The sequence below is a fragment of the Homo sapiens genome, chromosome 4, assembly GCF_000001405.40.
Source record: "Homo sapiens chromosome 4, GRCh38.p14 Primary Assembly".
In the NCBI taxonomy this organism is placed as follows: domain Eukaryota; kingdom Metazoa; phylum Chordata; class Mammalia; order Primates; family Hominidae; genus Homo; species Homo sapiens.
In genome coordinates this window covers 126,345,183-126,364,478 of record NC_000004.12, presented here as the reverse complement: position 1 = coordinate 126,364,478, position 19,296 = coordinate 126,345,183, and the positions used below count along the sequence as shown (strand labels likewise).

Below are 19,296 nucleotides of genomic sequence, written 5' to 3'. Positions count from 1 at the left end.
TCCCTACAAGATACATCATCATAACAGTTGGCTCATATGTTCTTGAAATGAAAAAGAAAATGTTGAACAGCTTTGCATATTCTATCAAAAAGATTACTCAACAATGTTGACTGTTATTATTTTTAAGAAGTAATTTGGCCATTTTGTTATTGTAGAGTTGGGAGGTTCCCTGCAGCTTACGCTTACTTTCCAGCTCTTGGATGGATTGTTTTTTTCTTCTTTTTTTCCCATAAATTTAGAATCATGGTGTGATATTCAGATAGCGTTTTTAAGAATAATATCATAAACACAAAACTACTTTATAAATTCTGGGCAACAGTTCTTCTCAAAAATAACTTTGTTCCATATGACATTTACCATAGCAATTTCCGAAAATAGTCTCTTTTTATATTTTATCTACTTGTAAGTTACTCCATGTGATAGTGTTACTGGGGGTCCTTGCTCCCAGAGCTCCCAAGATAGTGGTGGGCCACTTCCAAGATGGTGGCAAGCCTCGTGTTCTCTGACCTGGGGTTCTTGGCCTCACAGATTCCAAGGAATGGAATCTTGGGCCATGCAGTGAGTGTTACAGCTCTATTAGAAGTCGTGGGTCACGGAAGAGAACCATGGAACCCAGTGACTAGTGTTCAGCTCGATTAGGACAAACCCAGGCACTTAGCCGTACCGGAACAATGGCAAGCCTTTAGCCCGATCGGGAGTGGCAATGGGCGCATGGCTGCATCAGGAGCACAGCGGACACCCTGCCAGATCTGGAGGGATGGAAGTCAGTGGTAGGTCTGCAATGGTGGCAAACAGCAGTGGTGGATGGCGAGCGAAAGCTCAGCTCGAGCTGTAACAAACACAGACCAGAAGAGCGCAGTTGCAAGATGTAATAGAGTGAAATAGAGTGAAAACAGAGCTCCCATACAAAGGGAGGGGACCCAAAGGGGGTTGCCATTGCCGGCTTGAATGCCTGGGTTTATATCCCGATCCTTGTCCCTCTCGCTGTCCTCTCAGGCCATAGATGATTGGCTATTTCTTTACCTACTGTTTTTGCCTAATTAGCATTTTAGTGAGCTCTCTGATTGGTCGGGTGTGAGCTAAGTTGCAAGCCCCGTGTTTAAAGGTGGATGCGGTCACCTTCCCAGCTAGGCTTAGGGATTCTTAGTTGGCCTAGGAAATCCAGCTAGCCCTCTCTCTGCAGTGAATATGGGCAATATAACCTCTTCCACTGTTCATGTTGCATCTATGAACCAGTTTTCTTAAATATTAGAAAAATATTTCCCTAAGCCATCTATAAGAAAATTTAGCTAATGCTACTTAAATGTATAGTAAGAAACTCATGTCTAAGAATCTCTTTGGAATAGTAGTGTGCCCAGGAATCAACGCATAATAGTATGCTAAATATGGAATTCCTTTTTATGTTAATATGGCTGAAAAGATATGAATGGCTTAAAAAGGGGGCGGGTGGTTAGAGTGTTTCTCCAAAGGAAGCTGTTGGTGCTAGAAATGTTGAAACAGACTGCTATAAAGTTTCTATATCTAGAAATCTTTTTACCACCACCTCCAAAACACTCATTGAATTTATCTACTTCCCTTCATCTAGCTCTGCCTTTTCTGTAGTTCCAACTACTGTGATCACTTCCATGTAATACTGGCAAGTGGGCTGGGGGAGGTCATCTAATGCCAGTGGAACCTCAACACCAGCTTGCTTCCAGGCTTTTGACATCATCGTGGGAAGGAGTTTAAGATTCAGTGAGAAAATAGTGAAAATACAGAGATTTATCGCAAAGCAAAAAGTAGACACTGAAGAAATGGGAATGCAGTCATACTCAAGAGAGAGTCATGAGCAAGGGGGTTTGGGACTGCTACATTATGGGTTTCTTTAACCAAGGGGTGGAATATTCATGGACATTCCTGGAAAAAGGTGGACATTCCTCAGAACTGAAGTGTCACCCATTTTTACACCAAATACGGGTATTCTGGGAAGTGTTATGACACTGGTGGATGTGTTATTTAGTATGTAAATGAGCATCTAATTAGGTCCTAGGAGCTCTCTATAGATAATGGTTTAAACCATTATTTGTTATTCTTAAAAATACCGCTTCATTTCCTTAAAATCTCCTAAAGTCACTTAGACTGCCACTTATCAGTGCAAATGACATTTTTTTCTTCCTCTTCAGCAGTCCTCATGAACTCTCAGAACAAATACTCGTTATAATCTTTGATTGCATAATTTAAGGTCTAGGCAAAAAAAAGAAAATGTATTTTTTCCATCTTATATCATTCTCCTACTTTGTTACGTGACTATTTTTAGATTAGTGTGGCTGCTTATTTAAAATTCAATAGTGGTATACAACCTTACATACACAACCACTGACTCTTGGAGGTTCAGTCACCTGAACTGCATTTGTATACTGATTTGCAGAGCAGGGTTTCTTTAGGCTTTGCTTTTAATGGGTTTATATAATGGCATTAATTTATATTTTCTAAAATCAGGTCTTTCTGTATGTAAATACAAGTTTTATAAATTTTAGAGTTAAAGAAATTATCTTTAAATAATTCGAATCATGTGATTATCTCGAGCTATGTATGTTTTTATATGTGTAAACCAAGAGTATCTGAGATAAGTTTCAATCAATTTAGAAAGTTTGTTTTGTCAGAGTTAAGGAGGTGCTTGTGACATAGCTTCAGGAGGTCCTGATGACATGTGCCCAAGGTGGTCAGGGTACAGCTTGCATGTATACATTTTAGGGAGACAGAATACATCAATCAAGGCATAGAAGATTTACATTGGTTCCATCTGGAAAGGTGGGACAACTAGAAGTTGGCGGTGCTTCCAGGTCATAGGTAGATTTAAACATATTCTGATTGGTAACTGGTTGAAAGAGCTATTACCAGTAGAAAGGAATGTCTGGTTTATGATAAGGGGTTATGGAGACCTAGGTTTTATCATGCAGATGAAGCCTTCAAGCAGCAGGCTTTAGCAGATGCAAATGTTTCTTATCAGACTTAAGCTTTGTGCTGATGTTAACGCTGGAGGGGTGTAATGAGGCAAGTCCAAATCCTACTTTCTGTCAAGGCCTACACCACACTTTCAAGTTAAATTTTAGAGTGCCCTGGCTGAGGAGAAAGTCCATTCAGATGGTTGTGGCGGGGGCTTCAAATTTTATTTTTGTTTATAGTTGCATCTAAAATAAATATGCGAATACATATGCAGGACCTATTTAAAGCACCACTGAAACTTACTTTGCTTTCCTTAAGTCTCACATTCTATCATATGATCTTTTTTAAAAAATCTGAATGTCTTACATAAAGCTTTTAGAGATAATTTATGCTTTTTTTCTATATCTTTGGCAATTACCTCCTGGGTGATCTCATTATTCTTGCCTTGTTCATGCCCTGTGTCTCTGCTACTTAGAATTAACCTATATGTGAAGCATTTATTATTCTCTATAGTAGGATATAGTATCTTCCTCTGGACTACCTTAGCATTTTGTGCCACCTTTCTTTTAACCTACTTTTTTTTAACCTTAAATTGTTCAGATGTGAGGGTAAGTGTATATGTGTGCAAATATTCAGACATTATCTTAAGACATTGGTATTTTTTCTATTTATGTGTCTTGATAACTCTATTATATCATAAATAACATGCAAAATCCTTCTGTTAATTTACTTTTTATCTAGTAGATGCCAAATACTTGCCTTCAAAAAAATTGTTAGCACTCATCTGAATATACATAAAACCTATTTTCTGTAAAGTTTCTCAGTGCCTGAAAAAGTATTATATAAATCACCATTTCAGTATGACCACACTAGCTAAATCAGTTTCTTCCTACCTTTCTCCTCCTTTTCTGTCATATTACTTTACTTTAGATTCTTTGAAGCAGGTGTCTGTATCTACTTTTTGAAAGTTAATATAGTGTAAATACATGTAAATAAAGTAAATAATTAAACACTTTATATTTTTAAATGCACTGTGTGTTGCATTTTTATAATTGAGAATGCCAAGAAGATCAGTCAATTGAAGGAGGATACAAGAAAGTCAGCATGGGACATGCCCACTGTTGGATTTAGGAGGCCACTGTAGGTCTAGAATATGATATCCAAAGGGTTGTAATCTAATAATAAAAAAACCCTGACATTAGGAGTCTAACTAATAATAGCAAGGTGTTCCAAGATCATTATAGAGATGGGGCATCCATAAAAATGCACTATTTAAAAATCCACAGACAGGGCAGTGATAGATATAAGAGAAGTTCCTCGGTTGGTAACGGGAGCCATCAGGACTGTTAGATCCCTAGAAGCATCATATTAATTGGGAAACCCAGATGTTAACTCATTTACCATGAGTTAAATAAGAAATCCTGTTACCACCCCAAGGCAAAAGCTAAGAAATAAGTTGGAGGAGCCAGTCAAACATTAATATGTTAGACTGGATTAGAGTGAATTATTAGGTTAATAGCGGAAAAGCAGCAAGAGACTAGGTATAGACATCCACAAACGAGTCTGGAATAGCTAATGGATCACCTGCCTTTGGGAGGCAGAGAAGGGCAGATCACCTGAGGTCGCAAGTTTGAGACCAGCCTGACTAACATGGAGAAACCCCGTCTCTACCAAAACTACAAAATTAGCTGGCCATGGTGGCACATGCCTGTAATCCCAGCTACTCAGGAGGCTAAGGGAGGAGAATCGCTTAAACCTGGGAGGCAGAGGTTGTGGTGAGCCGAGATTGTGCCATTGCACTCCAGCCTGGGCAACGAGAGCAAAACTCTATCTCAAAAAAAAAAAAAAAAAAAGAAGAATTGCTTCTTGGCCTACAAAATAAATTGGAAGGCTATTGACGAAGGGAGAAAAAGGCTGCAGATTTGGAAAACTGGCAGAAGCTGACATAATTATAAACATATTTACTAAAATACTTTATATATCATAATAATGATATTAAACATTGTTACCATCATGAAATAACACATTCATATTTTGTAATCTCTACTGACCCAATTAGCATATTAGCTACATAATCTTAAAACACTTATCTCCTTATTAACTTTTCCTGTATCTGAGCAGCACTTGGGCTATTACATATTACTTTACTTTAAATTGAATACCTATACAAATATAAATAGTTTTAATATTTAAAAGATTATATTACTACACCAAGTGAAAAATATGTAAGAGATATGATCAATTAAAACTAGCTGTGGAAATAAACGTAATAAAGAACAATAGTGTTATTAAATTTTAGCTTGATTTACATCATTATCGATGTCCACACCTCTCTGGCTTGTTTCTGTACTGTTAAAGGAGGAGATTAGCATGGGCTTAAATGGATACTGAGTTTCCCCTTTATGTAATCAAAATGATTACAGGAGAATAATTTCAAAGTTCTGTGGCTTAAAGTTATTTAAGTTCAATGACTTTGTAGCCCCTAAGCTCCTACAGAGTTAACAGAATCTCACTTTTGACAAGATATTCATAGAGTGAAGATTCTCTGTTGTATGCAAATCTTAATCACCCTGGGTTCAAAGAAAAATCAGTAACAGACAAAGAAATCCTCACCACAAATTGTCTACTCAACATTTCTTCAACATTAGCCAGATTCTTTCTTATAATTAATATTTAGGGTTTATTGTCTTTACCTATAGCATAAAAATTTATATGGTGGCAAGAATATTTAAACGCTTGGGTTGGGTTTTTCAAGTTTAAATCACAATGTTATGTTTATACAAAAATTTCTTCCAAATTAATCTTTTTGTCTCTCTCTCTCTGTCTTAAGTGTACATTATTCCCTTTTCTTAATCACATATAGAAAACTCAATTCCCTACATACATGCACATTTATAAACAAAATTTTAAAATTTTAAAAGAGCTTGTGTTATGCCAAATACATTATTAAGATACCTGATGTTTTCTAAATATAAATCCAATGCTTATACTTAATTACTTTGCAGACTTTTCCACAAAGTTAGAAGTTTGAAAGGTGAATAATAACATCTTATTTTGAGGACCTATTGACTCAATGTCATAGAAATATGTGGGAAAATAGATATCCTCTTTTAAAATATAAGGTTTAGAAACACTTTTATTAGTACCTTATTTTCTAATAATTTTAACCCGGAGATGTTTTAAACTGTAGTCAGGAAACTCAGCTTTTGCCATTCATCCCATGAGACATAAATGAATTATTTCCAATTGGAATGAGGCTCATCTCTTCTAGGGTAGGCACCTGTCTATGGTAACAAGACTAAGCCTACCATTCATTATTCACATGCCACATGGCAGATGGAGGATGACAATGACCTGTAGTCATTTTGTCCAGTGAGAAATTAAAGTTAGCTCATAAATTGCCAATCTGCTAAGCCATCTGGTCTTTCACGGTAGATTTTTTAAAGTCATTCACATGGTTTAGAAAAATAATTTATTGACCACCTATGTTCTATATATTTAAGACTGTCTTACAATGATAATCTGTAAACATTTCAGGGTGTCCAACAGTAGAATATTCTCAAAATGCTCTATGTGGAATATGTGTAGTATATCTCATAGATATATATGTTTAGAATATTTAAATTATTTTTACATGAGATGTTTTGACATCTCATATTTTCTCTGCTATGGGAGTGAGGTAGGGGTATAGTATAAATATGCTAAATGAGAAACCACAGAGTGAACAGCTTTTACTTGGAATTATCCATAAATTTCCCTGAAATAATTTTGCCACATTGATAAATAAGTTATTTATACTTTTCTAGCACACGTATTTTGGCATTACTGTTGTAGATTTAAAGTAGAATTAGAATAATTTACATCAAATTTAAGAACCAACAACATTGTAATGTGGCAAAACATTTCAATAAGTCCACATTCTGATCTTGATTTCCAGCAGGTAATTTTTAATTTTTTTTGCATTTGCAATATGAGAGGCTCTGAGAAGAGTGCCTCTCCTAGGCGTCGGTAGTGATTGTGAAAGCTTGGCATATTTTAAAGTTGTGAACACCCAAAATTGGTGTTCATTTTTGTAGAACTTAGAAATTATTTCAGTTAACCATTTTATAAAGAATGATAGAAAATGACCCTTTTTTCTGATAGTAAATATGCATTAAGACTTGTATAATATGACATCCTTAAAGATTATTTCTAATACTAATATATCAAACAATTGTTTTCGGAAAGCAAAAGTGTAAATAATGATCATACCAAGGGATAGCCAACGCTTTATTCAAACCAACTGCTGCCTTGGCAAGCAGTCAATATGACTTATTTGCCTCTTTTTTAAAAAAAATTGTTATCATTACCACTATTATTTTATAAAATGGAGATCATAGGCAGGTACAAGCTACATTCTTTTAATAAAATCTTTCTTCTCCTCTTTCTCCCCCTTTCTGTTTAAGTCTATGGCTTAAAAAAAAAAAAGTTCTTTAAAAAGCCAACTCCGTGGCTGCTAAATTGGTAATGGTCTCTGACTTTCAGAAGATTGCCAGATGAAGGAAGTGTCAAACATGGTACTTGACTTCTCTATTTCCTGGCATTCCATCTGGGGACCACTATTCACTATGATTGTTGCAGTGTGAGAAGAATCTCTCCATCTGTCCCCAGGCTGCAGTGGAAATGCTATATGTGCAATTGCCAAAGAGGGGAAACAATGGGAAACACTATATAAGCATACAAAATCAGATATAGAATATAGTGTTAAGTAAAACTATCAAATGATATTTGACAACATATGTGAAAGTTTGGAAGTGCTTTAATTTCAGACTCTTTTCTAAAAGTAATTTTCCTCCTTATTCTGTGTAAGGCAGTAGAGTACCTTAAATGTCAGTCAGGTGACTGCTTCATCTTAAATACATGCCTCACATATGCACATAAGTACCTTTAAGTATTATTTATTTACTATTTTACTTTAGGTTGATTTGTTTGAGACCTGAAAACTGTATGGTACATTTTATTCATAAGTGAAAGACTGGCACTTTGGGAGGCCGAGGCAGGCATCAGGAGTTCAAGACCAGCCTGGCCAACATGGTGAAACCTTGTCTCTACAAAAATACAAAAATTAGCCAGGCATGATGGTGGATGCCTGTAATCCCAGCTACTTGGGAGGCTGAGACATGAGAAATACTTGGACTTGGAAGGCGGAGTTTGCAGTGAGCCAAGATGGCGACACTGCACTCCAGCCTGGGTGACAGAGTGAGACTCCATCTCAAAAAAAAAAAAAAAAAAAGGTGAAAGATTAATATCAATACCTATTATGTAACTAAAAATAAATATAATGAGAAAAAAAGAATAAAAGTTTACATAGATATTGTTGCCTATGAAAGGCTCTGATCTGAGTCCTTCTTTGTTAACCGAAAAGTGGAATTGTCAAGTACCAGAGAGGTATTCCGTGTAGGGTATTCCCAAACTGCAGCTCACTCCTTGACTAATACAGAAAAGAAATAGAAGTAGAAAGCAAATCACTTTCAAATTCTCTGGATCAATGTCATTAGAGTCTGTGGGTATGAACCATCTAATGTCATTTCTCCATTTCACATTTTGGTAACCTGAAATAGGTGTTAGACTTTAGAATCAGGGGCATCTGAATTTAAAACCCAGTTTTGCAATTTTCTAATTTGTGTTTTTGGATAACTCACGATTGCCTGAGTTTAACTTTCTTATCTGTAAAACATTGCTTATCTTGGAATATAGCAATGAGGACTGAACAAGGGTGCATGTAAAATGTTGTTCTGCAGCTATAATGTACAATTTCTGCAACAATTTGTAGCTATCATAATTGTTGAGGATAGAACATGAAATGAAAATATGAAAATATTGGTCAAAGCATACTCATCTAGTACATGGCCAAGAAAATCTCCCTGTATTCTTTATTTTTATAAATATGAGGTGCACTCTGACATGTTTTTCATTCTTTGATATCACTTGTCTTTTTCTCACTTAAAATAATTTTAGATTTAAGTAAAATATTTCATAAATTGACAGTTTTAATAAACGCTTATTCAAAAACTGAATGATAATTTTCCAGTGAAGTTATATCTTCCAAAGACAATCTCAGTGATATCTACCAGCCTATGGGCTGCAAGGTAGGCTTTTGTGGCTATTTCCACCAACAATGTACGTTGGGAGTAATAGGAAGTGACTTCTGAGAGCAAGTTGAAAAAGCCATGCATCTGCCAGTTTTTTCACCAGAACACTTCTCCTGGAGCTCTGCACCTCCATGTAAGGAGTCTGACTGCCCTGTGCTGGCTTCAACACAAAGAATGTCCAAACTAGCGCCTACAGAGAGACCCATGCAGAAACTCTGAGAGGAGGTGCCAGGGAAAGCCCAGGCTGCTTCATCTCCCCCTCCACTGTCCCAGCTCCAACCCTCACCTGACATCTACGTGAAAGACCCTGAGCCAGAGAGTCCAGTCAAGCCCTTCTGACAGAAACCAGGAATGATACAAAAGGTTTTCATTGTTTTACACCTCTACATTTCAGAGTCATTTGTTCTATAGCAATAACTAACCAGATCAAGTTTCAACATGATGCAATTCTTGATATTTTTGTGTACGTAGCCATACGTGCATTACTAATGTGTTTTCTCTTTCTCAAATAGCAGAAGGCTATTGTTCTGTCTGGAAAACATCATGTTCCCAAATGTTACCTTCTGGTAATCCTACCACCCATTTTATTCTCCTACATTGTTTTGGGCATTGTTATTATTTTTGTGTATTTTTCCAGTAATAAAATACTTTGGAAGTATCAGGTAAATTTAAGTAAAAGGCTATGAAGAAAATGCACTGTTATCTTGAAGAAAATTTTCCCAATCTCTAATTAAAGAATATTTGGATTATTACTGGTTTATTCTCAATTTCCCTTTTCTATTACAGAAGCCCAGAGGTGTGGGAAAAAAAGAAAGTCTACCAAAAATAAATCACATATTTAAAAAATTATTTTAGAGAAAAATGATTAATTGAAAAAATAATTTTGATTATTTGTAATAATTGAGAATTTACCTCTATAATACAGAATGATCAATATTAAAATAAATAAAAAGAATGGCAGAGAATTTTTTTCTGTCATCATGTTGAGAAAAAAGGGCTTAGATTATTTTAAGAAAAGTATCCAGAGCTATAATAAAAATTTGACATTTCTTGAGGTCTAGTTTGTCTCTAGTTAGCCCCTGTTTTTCTCTTAACCACTACTCAGGGTTCTCTTGTTTTTCATAGTAACTAGAAACATTACAATCTAGTCACCTGAGCCTCTTTCTCTGAAACTTTTCATCTAAAATACCAATTTAAGAAGCACTTTCTTTAAAATAAGTTTTATGCGCTTCTATTTTTAAAGGCTGATAACAATAAACAACAGAGCATTTTGATTTTAGTTTGAAAGCAAATGTAAATTGTCTACAAAGACTCTGAAGATTCATTGTAAGAGATCAATAAAGCCTATAGTCCCAGCTACTCGGGAGGCTGAGGCAGGAGAATGGCGTGAACCTGAGAGGTGGAGCTTGCAGTGAGCCCAGATTGCACCACTGCACTCCAGCCTGGGCGACAGAGCGAGACTCCATCTCAAAAAAAAAAAAAACAACAAAATTCAAATCAAATATGAATTTATTTTTGATACCTTTTTGTCAAAAAACATTACACTTTACTTTCATTGTTTTTATTTGTTGTTTTTAGTTCTACAAATTATGTTTACACTAGGTTATCAATCATACTGAGTTCAGCATCCAGCCCTTTTACTGAACTTGAAATTTGTATTTTGCTTCACCATTCAGCTACATATGCATCTCACTCCTTGCCCTGTAGAACTTTGGGAGCCTTGCCCTTTAATAAACACCTTTAGAATGGGTACCTTCCTTCTTATGTTAAAAACTGCCCTTGATATGCAAGTTATTAGCTTGTATGTTTTTATCAAACACACACACACACACACACACACACACCAGAGAGAGAGAGAGAGAGAGACGTTATTTTTCCTATTTCTAATCAGTAATAAACATCACCATTCATCAGGATTGAGACACAAATATTTTAAAATATTATTTTTTTAGATGATTGCAATAATATTCTATCTGAAGCAAAGTTTAAAATGACAGATCTATGCACATAAAAAGTGATATGTAATAATATAATATGAAGGGTAATAAAGAATATTCTTTTTCTAATAGGGTGAGATATGTTAAACACAATGGCTTTTCTTCCCTGTAGGACTGAGCACAACACACACAATCACTCCCTTAATGATGCTGATTTTTGTCATTCTTATCTTTCACTATGATTTGCTTGTTTTTGACTCAGAAAAGAGAAACAATTTCCAGTTCTAAAAGAAAGACGGTTAAAACATGTTATACATTTCCTTTTTTTGCTCCCCTTTGAAACACCATAGCGTATATCAATTGGTGGTTCAGGAAAGTTTATCTAAGTATCTTTCATAAAAGTTATTAGAATAACATTATTATATGGATGTCTGAACCACACTGTAAGTATCCACTTAAAAAACTTTCCTCACCAAGTTCACTATGAGGACCCTCATGGCTACTTCCACTATTTGTTTTATTTTCCCCCCTCTAGTTCCCCTCAAATTCTCAGAAAAGTCTATTTTTAAGAGCCCAGTATTTTTATATTGTCATGAAGCTTTTAAATAATGAGTACGTATACATTTTCCCATATTAGTCCTTCTGAGTTGAAGGTTTTAAAAGTTCGGATAAACTGTGCCTCATGGTGTGGAAATTTTGTCTAAAGTTCTAGAAGCTTCATTGTTTAAGTGTCAACAGTGACATATAAAAATAACTTTTGTTGAAGACAGGTTTAGAATATTCATTATAGCTCTTAATAATGCCAACAAAAATAGAGAATTTATTTGCGGAGCATAGTGCTCGATAAACGCTAATAAAATCCTCTGCTTAGAACACAGGGATTAGTTTCACTAGAAAAGATTTTAAAATAGTTTGCCTTTTACATTATTCCATGATAGGACAGGGTATTGCCTGCTCTCAGAATTCAAATAAAACACATAATTTCAAGTTAACTTAAATTTGAGTCATATAAACATTTAATTAAGAATGAATGAAATACTGTACTTGGACAAAATATATATAAAAAGCATCTGTTGGGCAATTTCTGAAAGACGAGCTGTATTACATTCTGTTACAAGCCTTTTAAAAGAAATATATAACGTAATTTAAAGTGGCAGACATTTTTCCTTATAAACACTGCCAACCGGTTTTGTAGATAGTGTTATTCTAGAATGCTACCTATATCTTGCCAAAGTACATACTAAATAATCTTTATTTTTTCCTGTTTCTAATTTGCAGAATTTGACTTTTGTTAGAAAGTTGAAGTACATAAGACTTGATGTTACCTGCTCTGAGGAAACCAGCTCGAATCAATTTAACTTCATCCAGCAATCAGCTGTTTCTTGTATTTACTAATTCGCTTTTGATCATTTACTCGAAAGTGTTTTCACCTTTACGTACTACTTCAAAAAAAGATAAAACTCAGCTATAGATAAATGAAAAACATTTTTTAGTAAATTTATCACTGAAATTGATAAAGAATATATTTTTAAAAGTCCATAAGAGTTTAATTTTTTTAATCTTTTTTTTAACTGGCTAGTTTACACTGCAATCTTTCTTGTTCTTTTCTATGTGAAATTTGGAGACGACTTTTTAGAGATCAGTTTATTTGTTTTTATAATCACCTTCACTGAGGTAAAATTAACATAAAATAAAATTTACCATTTTTAAGTGTATGATTCAATTTTAAAAAATGTATTCAGTTATGTAACCACCATCACAATCATGATAGGGAGTATTCCATTATTCCACAAAAGTTCTGTGTACACTCCTGTAGTCAATCTACTCCCTTAACTCCCGCCCGTGACAGCCATTGACTTCGTTTCTAGCTGATAGTTTTGCCTTTTCCAGAATGTCATATACATGGCTTCCTACAATACATAAATTTTTGTGTCTGGCTTCTTTTACTTAGCACAATGCTTTGAGATTCATCAAGATTGTTGCATGTATTCACAGTTCACCGCTTTTAATTGTGGAGTAGCATCTGACTGTGTTGATATACCACAATTTGTTTATTCATTCACTAGTAGATTGCTTCCAGTGTTTTGAGAAATTAAATAATGTTGCTTTGAACACTGAAATACAAGTTTTATTGTGAACATATGTTTTCTTACTAAGTTGTATAAAAACTTAGGAGAAAGATTGCTGGGTTCTATTATAAGTGTATGTTTATATTTCTAAGAAATGGCCAAACTGCTTTCCAAAATGTCTGTACTCCATGTAGTACTCCAACCAGCAATGAATGACAGAGTGTTCAAATTGTTCACATACTTACTCATAAGTGGTATCGTGAGTTTATGTAATTTAGATCATTCTATTGGGGTGTGTAGTGGTATCTCTTTGACAACTTTTAAAAACAGTTTTGTTCAGTTATAATTGACAAATAATATACTGCATATATCAAACTATACAGTTTGATAAGCTTTGACACATGTATACCTATGTTACACCCATGAACTTGTTACTAAAATTATGGAAATATTCATTACCCCAAGTAATTTTCCCATGCTCCTTGGTATTTCTTTCTCCATTTAATGCAGCTCTACCCTCTGAACTCATTTTTGTTGGCATAATTATTTTGAAATTTACTCATGTTTTTGCATGTATCAATAGTCCTATCACCAAGCAGCATTTCATTGTAAACTATAACACAATTTGTGTATTAATTAACCTGGTGATGGACATTTGGGTTATTTCCACTTGTAGACAATTGCCAATACATCTACCATAAATTTTCATCTACAAACCTCTTTATAGGCACACACATTCTTTTCTCTTGAGTAAATACCTGGATGTTAAATAGCTGAATTATATGACGTCTGCATATTTAACATTTTAAGAAACTATCAAACTGCTTCTTAAAGTAGTAGTGACATTAATAGTTCCATCATCAGCATATGTGTGTGCCAGCTGGCCCATATCATTGTTCTGTTAAGTAATAGGTCTATTTTTACTGTTTTTTAAATAATATTTTCTCTTCATCATAGATTTTTAGTAGGTTGATTATGTTGTAACCATGTAATACTTTTTATTTTTTTTCTAACTAGAGTTACTTGAAATAGTTGGATCTATGGGATAATAATTTTCATTAAATTTAAAGAGGTTTTTGTCATTAATTTTTGAGTTAACTTGTCCTGCTTCTGTCTTTTCCTCTTCAGACATTTCAACTAAATGAGCATTGGAATGCTTTATATTGTTCTCAGAATTTCTTTTTCATTTTTTCAGTCTTTTGTCTATGTTTCTTTTTGGACATTTTAGTGTTCTCTCTTTTATATTCCTGATTTATGTTCTGTAGTTTCTAATATGGTATTAGTTTCATTCAGCATATCTTTTATTTCAGAAATTATGTTTTCATTTGGAATTTCTAATTAGCTCTTTTTTATATTTTTTTCTTTTCTCATCATATTAAAATTTCCTCTACCTCCATGAACATATGTAGTGTATGTATAGTAACTGCTTTAACGCCTCTTTCTGCCAATTTCATCATCTATTCATCTATGTTAATTTTATTTTTCTATGGGCCATTTTTCCTGCTTCCCTCATGTCTGGTAATTTGTATTAAATACCAGACATTGTGAATCACATTGTTGATTGTTGAATTTTGTTACATCATTTTAAATGTTTTTGTTGTTCTAAGATACACTTAAATTACTTCAAATCATTTCATTTGTTTACTTGTTTTTTATTTTTTATTTTTTGTTTGTTTGTTTGTTTGTTTGAGAAAGAGTTTCGCTCTTGTTGCCCAGGCTGGAATGCAATGGCATGATCTTGGCTCACCTCAATCTCCGACTCCTGGGTTCAAGTGATTCTCCTGCCTCAGCCTCCCGAGTAGCTGAGATTACAGGCATGTGCCACCATGCCCGGCTAATTTTGTATTTTTAGTAGAGACCGGGGTTTCTGCACATTGATCAGGCTGGTCTCGAACTCCTGACCTCCGGTGAGCCGCCTGCCTCGGCTTCCCAAAGTTCTGGGATAGAGGAGTGAGCCACTGCACCCAGACATTTTATTTGTTTTAAGACTTACCTTAAAACTTATTTAGGGCAGGTTCAGATGAGTTATTATTCTAGAACTAATTTGGCTCCACTACTAAATAGTGCCTTTTATATGACTCTATCCCAGGCATGCATTAAGATGCCATTCAACTCAGGTTTGTGGGAACACAAACAATTCTTATCCACAAGGGAGCTCCAGGAATTGTTTCACCTATTATTTTCTGATAGAAATTATAAACTTTATTATTTTATAAAAACTAATGATGTTTTGGAAACACTAAACAATGTTATTTTATTATTAATTACATTTTACTATAAATTAACTATAATCAACTTATATTGTGTAGACATAGGGACGTTTGTAGAGTATAACTTTAAATTTACATTATAAAATGTTATTCACAGTAAATCATATAGTATAGTTACTTGTCTATAAATATATCAGTGCACGTGTCTACATGTATGAGAGAGAGTTTGGCTCTATGTGTAGAGGATTAGAGAGGAACATGTTAAACAAAAGTAAAGAATGTGACCACCTCTTTCTCTTGGTAAAGAGGAATAGAATTTAGAGGAAAGAAAGTTTCTTAATTTATATACTTGTGTTTTTTCATGATTTGATTCAAGAATGGCATCTTTCATTACTTGGAAAATTAAAAATTACACTTGATATGTGATTGCATACTATATGTATTTACCTTTACATCTCAAAGCAAAATAAAAATAAAATTCAATGAAAACTCAGTTACCTTTGCATGGCTCAACTACTCAAAATGCATATTGGATATCTGCCTGGCCCTAGGACCTAAGCATAACTACTATAAAACAATAATAAAAACAGCAGCACAGGAAACCTTCCCCGTAAGGAAAGTTTCTTTGTCATTAATAATGTCAGTACACCTATTGAAAACATCTGTGCATGTCTAGGTCAAAGATTTATACTTTATTTTCATTGTCTAATTAAATATTCCAATGAATTTTAAAATTGAATATGGAAAATTCCATCTTTTTCCACAATTGAGAAAAAACATGAAAAAGGAAGCATGGAATATGTATTTTTAGGATTAATTAAATTTGTTACAGGTGTCATTATGAGTGAGCATTGATGCTATTCTGTTTTGCATTTGTTAATGATTCTTGTAACCTGTTTTTTAAAAAATACTATAAATAAGACATTGTATAAGATTGTTGCATTGAAAATGACAAAGTAAATTTTTAAGATTTAAACTTATGTTTCCGTAAAAGGAACTGAAAATTTTCAGAAATGAAACGTGCCTCTCCTAACTATACTTACCAGCTATCCATGATTCTTTATCATTTTATTTCTAGTGTATCACTTACTTTTAGGGAGAAAATGCTGGTTCTGAATAAGGAAAATTTTAGGGAAGAAATAGCTTTCAATCAAATTATGTGATTTATTTTATCGAAATGTCTATAGTTAAAATTCATCATATGTTGTGCACGGTCCAATCTCGTTAACCATATTTTCATTTATTAGAATTTCATTTTGCAGTAATTTGATTATTATCCCTTATAGAACTATTCTATTGTTATCAAATCAGATGAATCTTTCTTCAATTGCAAGAAAGAACACTAGACTTATTAGAAAATATTTGCTTAAACTGTTAATTACATAACTCCCATTAGAAACTGAGAGATGTGTAGCTGGGCGTGGTGGCGGGCACCTGTAGTCCCAGCCACTCGGGAGGCTGAGGCAGGAGAATGGCGTGAACCCGGGAGGTGGAGCTTGCAGTGAGCCGAGATCGCGCCACTGCACTCCAGCCTGGGCGACAGAGCAAGACTCCATCTCAAAAAAAAAAAAAAAAAAAAAAAAAAAAAAAAAAGTGATGTGATACTTTGGGGAATTCATATGAAGAATATGCACTTTTCTCCAATTCTATTTATTTTATATTCTACATTTATAAGCTAAGCATCCTATAAGTGAATAGTACTCCGACATTACATTAACCCAGTGATTCTGAAATTTATCGGAACAAAACCTTCCTTTTCTTTTTAAATAAAATATGTTGTAATAAACATTCAACTGAAATTAATACAAAACATAATTTTATTCGAATATAAAACTTTAAATCTAAAAACAGATGTAACCTACAAAATACCCTAATGCTAATGTAAAGATGTATAAGAAGAAAGTAATTCTTACTATAAACTAATAATTTTTAATATGGAAATGTGCAGGCATGAAACTACCTTCGAAGGTATAAGGAAGAAAATCTATTCCCTGAACCAGGAACTAGGGTATATATTTACAACAGCTATAGAACCAGAGTTATGCAAATTTGAGAATGGCAATCCAAATACTTTTGTATTGGTGATGTGACTTTCCCAAAATGAAAAAAAACTGATAAATTTCCAAATCAAACAAAATAAGATCTTCTCTATTAGTAATTACCATTTTTGCATAGTAAAATGCAAGAAATGTTTTGGGTTTTTTTGAATGTAAACTAGTTTCTAAGCTCAAATAGTCATAAATGTCCTTTCTACCAAGATGAATGTCCAGCAGGTTATTTGCAACTCAGATAAGTCTTAAATAACTGTATTGTGCAAGACCGTTGCATGCATTATCATATCTGCCATTCCTAGCCTCTTTTTGTTAGGTACCAGTAATGCCTCCCTCAATTACTTCCATGGGAAAAAATGACTTCATCACTCCATAACCTTCTAATAATCTTTTTCCTGGGCTAAGTGTTGATGTTATCAGTCTGTGTTTTATATTGAAGGTCTGTTTTCAAAACAAATTGTAGTGAAGTGCAATTCAGTTTTCCAGTTGCTGCACAATCGTGCTATTTATGCAGTGCTCTCCTATGTGGAGCCCACATAATAAATGGTATTTTGAATTCACTTTTTCTTTGAAATACTAGTATGCTTTAACTATTTTGACAATAAAATATGTCATTGATTTTGCACTGATTGCCAAGAAACTCAGAATTGAATGCAAAGCTCACTACAGCAATTATGTAAAGAATTTTCTCTATATTTTAAAACATAGCTGTGATTTTTTTTTCCAAACCAGTATGTTGCTTTTGGTATTTGCTTTTTTTCTAGTGTGTCATCATTTCATATGTGTGTGTTCTGTAAATTGTCTCAATTTCTCTGTTAAACAAGGTTAGAAATATGAAGTAGTGAGATAGAAAATATGATATATGCAACATATATCAAATTCTTAGTATCACAGGTTTTCCCTAGGTTGAAATATTCTGCAGAGATTTTGGAATCTATAAAAAGTGTTGAGTAATAATACTTGGAATTTAAAATTTCCTAAGTGACCAAAATGTATGTAACTTTTAATAATTAAATGGAATGTTACAGAACTGATATAAAATGTTTCATGTTTGTTACATTTTTATCATATCTGTGTCATACTTCATTTACTGTTTGTCTTAATAAGAAGGAAACATACAGCTATTCAAAGTCATGATTCCTTGGAATGGTAGAAGACTAAGGTGAAGAGAATGTATATGAAATAGATACATACAGAGAATGAATAACTTCCATTGGCTTACTCTGTCAATTTTTGGTAGAAGAATTTTATTAGGAGTGGAAAAAACTAGGTGGTTAGAATAATTTGACAATTCAGTATTTTACATAAGACCTTTCAAAACAATAACTTTTAAAAAACAGCACATTTTTACTTGTAGTACATTATGATAAAATATTGATTTGATTTAATATGATGTAATGTCCACAGAGATAAAATGTGCATTTCAATTATTAAATTTCCCTATGCATTATATAAAATGATTGTGCATTGTGAAAATTATAAATCCATGCACTGTGAAAATTGTAAATCAATATATGATCAATATATTTTATCAGAGCCAGCTTGTTGTCTTAGAAACTCCAAGAGCATGAGTAAGATGTGTCAGCCCCGCATGATGTACATGATAAGAATTGGATACTAAAATATAAGAACGATTAGTTATAAGAATAAAATTTAGTTTCTCCTATAAATCTAGTGAATACATTTGTTTAAATCACAAGTTATATGATAAAAAATCAAATGTATATATAACAATAAATAAAACTGGAATTGAAAACTATATATGAAATTCTTATTGTATTAACCCAGCTATAACACATCTTGGAAAGTTTCCAAAAAACTTCTTTTAGACTGCAGTCTTTCTACTATTTTTCCTGGACTTCATCACCTTCTACTGCGTTGTAGAATTCTGGCTTTTCTGTACATAAGCAAAACACAGGCACACGTGCCCACACACACAGAGTCAGATTGAAATGTCCATAGTTGGACAAAAA

General features: G+C 33.7%; 1 annotated feature.

Annotated features, from left to right (window-relative positions):
* Positions 2,740–3,241: an enhancer, noted in NCBI's record as "NANOG hESC enhancer chr4:127282393-127282894 (GRCh37/hg19 assembly coordinates)". NCBI's record gives its function as "activates a minimal SCP1, AML or CMV promoter by ChIP-STARR-seq in primed H9 embryonic stem cells {active_cell/tissue: H9 hESC(primed)}" and the evidence as "EXISTENCE:reporter gene assay evidence [ECO:0000049][PMID:30033119]".